This window comes from Homo sapiens, chromosome 8 (assembly GCF_000001405.40).
Source record: "Homo sapiens chromosome 8, GRCh38.p14 Primary Assembly".
Taxonomy (NCBI): Eukaryota; Metazoa; Chordata; class Mammalia; order Primates; family Hominidae; genus Homo; species Homo sapiens.
In genome coordinates, this window is record NC_000008.11 from 52,076,030 (window position 1) to 52,081,427 (window position 5,398).

Below are 5,398 nucleotides of genomic sequence, written 5' to 3' on the forward strand. Positions count from 1 at the left end.
ATAGTAACCAAGACACCTACTGAGCCGGCCCCATGCAGTCACCACACCCATGGTCCTGCAGTGGGCACACAAGGAGAAGGAAGTTCCCATGTCTAGAAATTAGAGTCTCAGTTATGGGGAAAAAGGAAGGAAGAATAAGCTTAGTTGTTTCAAAGACATCTCACTATTGTCATTTCACTTAATCATCATCATGAGGCAGTGAGGAATATTATTCCCATTTCTATGTGAGAAGACAAAACTTAAAGGTAAGGGATTCAGTCACAGAGCCAATGTGGTAGAATTGGACTCTGACTCAGGTCCTCAGACTCAGTATCCCATACTCTTTCTACCCACTAAATGAATGAATATTTAATAATTAACTCTGAACAAGAAGAAAGAACTGGTTGGTGAAACAAAAAGTGAGTGGACTCTTAGAAGAAAGTTGACTAGAATATATTTGTTGCTGCAAAACAAACTTAAAACTTTATATTTGTTGCTGCAAAACAAACTACTTAAAACTTTGTAGCTTAACACCACAATCATTGTAGGTTAGGCATTCAGAGAAGGCTCAGCAGGATGGTTCGTCACACGCTAAGTGATGTCTTCTGAGACTGGAAGGTACAAGATGTTCACTTCACTCATTTCTGGCTTCTCAGCTAAGTTGACTTCAGTAACTGAGGGCTGGTTGGGGCTGCTTAATGGGGACGATATACCTATGCCTAGGATTTTTGGATTTCTTTGTTGGCTGTGTTCCTTGGTTCTCACTGTTGTAGTCTCAGGAGTCTCTCTCTGTCTCTCCCCCTCTCCCCCTCCCCTGGTATCCTGTTTACATGGTGTTACTACATGGTTTCTTCAAATGATCTTTCCAGCAGCCTAGACAGACCTCTTGCTTGAAAGCTCAGGGCTCCCAAGAGTGCAAAAGTAGAAGCTTACAGAACTTCTCAAGATTAGTCAGAATGGGCACAACATCTTTCCTGACATATTTTAAAAATTAAGTCACAGGCTCAGCCTAGATTCAAGGATAGGCATGAATAATGAGAAGTATGGGTAAATGGAGGTATTAATTTAATGAATTACCATAATCCTGACCCCTAATGATTCACATTTCTACCATATACATTATATATTCACTCTCTAGAATGCCTTCCAAAGATGTCATTCTATTATGACATAGGGCTCAGGCTTGAGGTCCAGGGTCTCCTTATCTAATTTAGGTCCATGTGCAGATGATGCTCTTCAGAAGTGGGCTCTCTAATGAAATCAAAATTCAAGTTGTCTTCCATATCCCTAACACACATAGGTAAGGCTGTGCCAGGAAAACCAAAAAGAAATTCCTATTTACAAAGGGTGAAAACAGAAGGCCCACAGTAGCCACTGATTCATAGAAATTTTGAAATCCTGCAAGGCATAAATTTTTCATTCCTTGACTAGGTCCCAGTTCTGCCCTCTGGGAGTGTTTCTTCACGGCCCTTGGTTCCACCCTCAGAAGCAATTTTTTTCCTATGAGAAATGGCTTTTATTTGGAGTTGAGTGGTTTTCACAGTCTGTATGTTGGGGTTCCCAAGACCACCTCAGGCCCAATGATTTACTAGAAAGACACACTGGTCTTGGAAGCTTTATTCACACACTTATGGTTGATTACAGTGAAAAGATATAGATTAAAATCAGCAAAGGAAAGATGCAAATGGTGTGACTTCCAGGAGTAACCTGGTGCAAGCTTCCAGGTGTCCCATTCCTGTGGAAGGTACTTAATTCTCTCATCAAGGATGTATGACAACCAGAGAAGCTCCCCGAACCTTGGTGTCCAGTGCTTTTGTTGGGAAGTCACTCAGAATCCTTTTCCCCTCAGCAAAATAGGCATTCACTGTAAGTCACATTGTCAGTATAAACTAATTGTCAAACTGTTACTGCATGTCCCAAGACCTCAGGCATACCAAAACACTCATCAGGCAGCATATTCCAGGGTCATAGAGCTCATATCCCAGGAATCAGCAAAAGACTAGTCCTGAACACAGACTTTCCCTCAGAATGTGCAGGGTTTGAGTAACGTGGGTCTACTGAGTTAACCCTTTCTTGCACAATTTAAAATTCGTTTTTCATTTGAAACTCTCTCTGGTCTTTTGAGTTCAATATAGTATAATTTCTTTAGAAAGTTAATACATTTTCTATGTATCAAATTATAAATTCACTTTATTCAATAAAAGCTGTACCCATAAATATCTTCAAGACAGATCTCTTTCCACTTGGACCTCAAAATCAGAGTGATAGGGGATGAATTAAGATTCTTAAAAGCCCCACTGTCTATCTGAATTGTTCCATAATGTCTTAAGTCTTTCTGAAGTCTTAACAAAGTGTTTCACATATTTTTGTTCCTGTGATAACTCTTTTACTGAGAAGGCCCTGGATTTGATCTTTATTCTGAGGAAATTACTAATTCACTCTGAGAATCTTTTGTTATGAGAGATGGGATGAGAAACAGTTTTATGTTGGAATCCTACAGTCGTGGTTTTTCTTTATATTTACCCTAAATTCTGCTTGAAAACAAAACTTTTTTCTATCTTATTTTATTGCTCCAGGGTTTTATTATAGGCAGCTGAAAGAAGCTCCTTAGGCAGATCCATCATTTTATTAGGAGCTCTTTCTCCTGTCCATTTACGAAGGCAACAGTTCTGTGTATTCTTCTGCCCCCATTTTCTTATGGAGCTTCTGGTCTTCCCTCTTGGCGAGGCATCTTCAGGCTTGCCTCACTGCCTGGCCTCAAAGCTAATGTGGCACAGCCTGGTGGTAAAGTCTTCTACCATGATGATCGTTTTGGCAATTTCCCTTAAAATTCCATCAGGTTTTGCTATATCAACAGGAATCACAGAGCCACTTTTTAAGGTGCATACAAGTTCATAATTTCCTTATATCTATTAGCTTAATTGTTCCTTATAATTATTACCTATCATCTCATTTCATCTGTCTTAATGCTTTATCCTCAAAGTCTCTTTTGTTTGGTATTAATATCTCTGCCCTATCTTTTGTTTGCCAGTCATACCCTTTTCTAATTCTTTATTTTCAACGTTCTGAGCTTCTTTGCTTTACTTCTGTCTTACATAGGCGCCATATTGCTGGATTAAAAAAAACTCCTTCCAGTAATAATGGTTACAGATGCATTTAGACATGATTCTACCATCTTATTTTGTGTTCTGTTTGCCATTTCTGAGGCCAGGCCATTTGATCTGAGACCTTAGGGATGAAAAGCATCCAGCCTTGGGACGTGCCCTTTGGAGGCAGAGAAAAGAACAAATGCAAAGAGAGGAGGCAGAAAAGCACTTAACAGAGTCGAGGACTAGGAGGAGGCCATTGTGGCTGAGGTGTAGTGAAAGAGTCCTGCGGGGTGGAGTAGCTGCAGGGACCCCCATGGTGGAGGGGCTTGTAGCTGTGGTGAATGTTGAAGGAGTCCTATGTCCCCCTGGAGAGGGCTTTCCATTAGGAGAAGGGTCTTGGCTTCTTTCTGTCTGAGAGAAACCAGTGAGTTCACCAGATGGTGAGACATGGAGAGTGGCAGAGCAACCCTTCTGTGTTCTCCCTTTGTTGGGGATCCACCTGCCTGCAGAGGGCACGTGTCAGGTTCGTGCTCCACCATAGGATGAACTCGCCCTCTCCTGTGCTGGGACCCACAGTTGTCCAGCAATACCACTGTCTAGCCCAGGCCTCTGTGCCAGCAGCTCACAGGCCCACACTCAGAGGCTGCATTCCCCAGTGTTGTCCCAAGTAAAGGTTATGCTTCGACCTCTATATGCCTGGCTCCTGTGTCTGGTAGGATACAGAAATAGTATTTAGTCAGCCCATGGGAAAAAGAAACAAAAAAAATATCATACAACTTATGTACTTTTTTCAAACTGCAATGGGAAGATTTTGAAGGGTTTTAAGTAGTAGTTTGGGTTGAAATGATCTGATTTATGCTCTATAAAGATAATTTTTACTGCTTAGAATAGAATGGAACATAGTGGTCAAAATTAGAAGCCAAGAAGAGAAGTGAAATGAGTAATGGGGAGGAGTTTATGATATTCCTTGGACTTAGTGTTAGCAATTGAGTGGAAGGCACTGCTAGGAGTTTCAGTGGAAAGCCTGGTAGGGTATCACGTTTAGGAGTTTCTACATAAGAACTGTATTTGGGGTTTGTGCTCCTTACCTGAAAAGCACAGTGCAAAAGGATTGAGGGAAAACCTTAATATATAAGGGAACAGAAGCATATGCAAAATCTATGGATAAATATATGATTTTTCGTTATTGAAGAAAAGTTTTGATTCACTTGGAATAATGAAAAAAGGTAGGAGGAGAATGTCCCAAAGTATTTGCCTTTTTGGAATTGAAAGTTTTCAACTATAAAATTTAACAGCTTGATGACATAAAAGGATGAAACTCTTAAAACAAATAATACAAAGTGGACTAAAACCATCACAACCACTTGCAGGAAAATATCTATAAATAGATTGTCCTCCCATTATTAGATTGGTGTTAATAATTATTCAGGCGCCAAATGGTAGTTTGGAGAATTACTGAGGGAAGATTTTCAGACCAATTCTCCTATTTGAGACATTCTGAGACTCAGAAATGTGTGGAATTGAATTAAGCACTGGTAAAACAACTTGTTTTCTCTTCTCTGTTACAAATAAGCCTCTCTAGCATTCTGGTTGAACCTCATAGCCAAGGGGAGGGGAGAAAAGTACCTAACATTTATGGAGGCCAGTGGGGTGAGGTCCGCAGTTAGTCCATAAGGTTTCAAGGGGAGTTAAGACCCTGTTGCTGCCTTCAAGGTGCTCATGTGGCTACTTGATCTCACAGCAGTTCCCTGTGACAAGTAAAATTGCTCCTGTTGGATGAGGACACTGAGGCTGAGGAGGAGGGAGTGAGAGGATGAAGGGAACCTGCCCAAGGTCTCCCCTGGTGTGGCGGGCAGGGAATCTGGCCCAACTTGGCTGCAGGGAGCAGTGGAAACTGAAGGTTCAAGATATGCTTTACGGGTAGAAGAGCATCAATAACAAAGAGTTCATTATCCATTCATTAAAGACATGCAATATATTGCCAGTGTAGCCATACCAGGCATATGAAGGGAAAAGAAATTACAATCATGAGAAGAGATGTGTCCTTTCTCTTAACAGTTTACAACCTAACAGGAGGTTGATACAGTAATTATGAGAAAAATGCAATGTGGAAAATACTCTGATAAGAAATACTATGAGTGTTTACACTTCACTCCTTAACAACTTATTCTGGTAATTAGCCCCCACAGAATTCCTGGGCCCCCTCAATCTCTTTTGATCAATATGGATAGTGATTATCAAGGGCTTATAATCAAACTTGAGCAAATTAATAGCTCTATATATGCATAACTGGTTGATTATTTGCAGGTTATATATGATTCTTCCTGCTC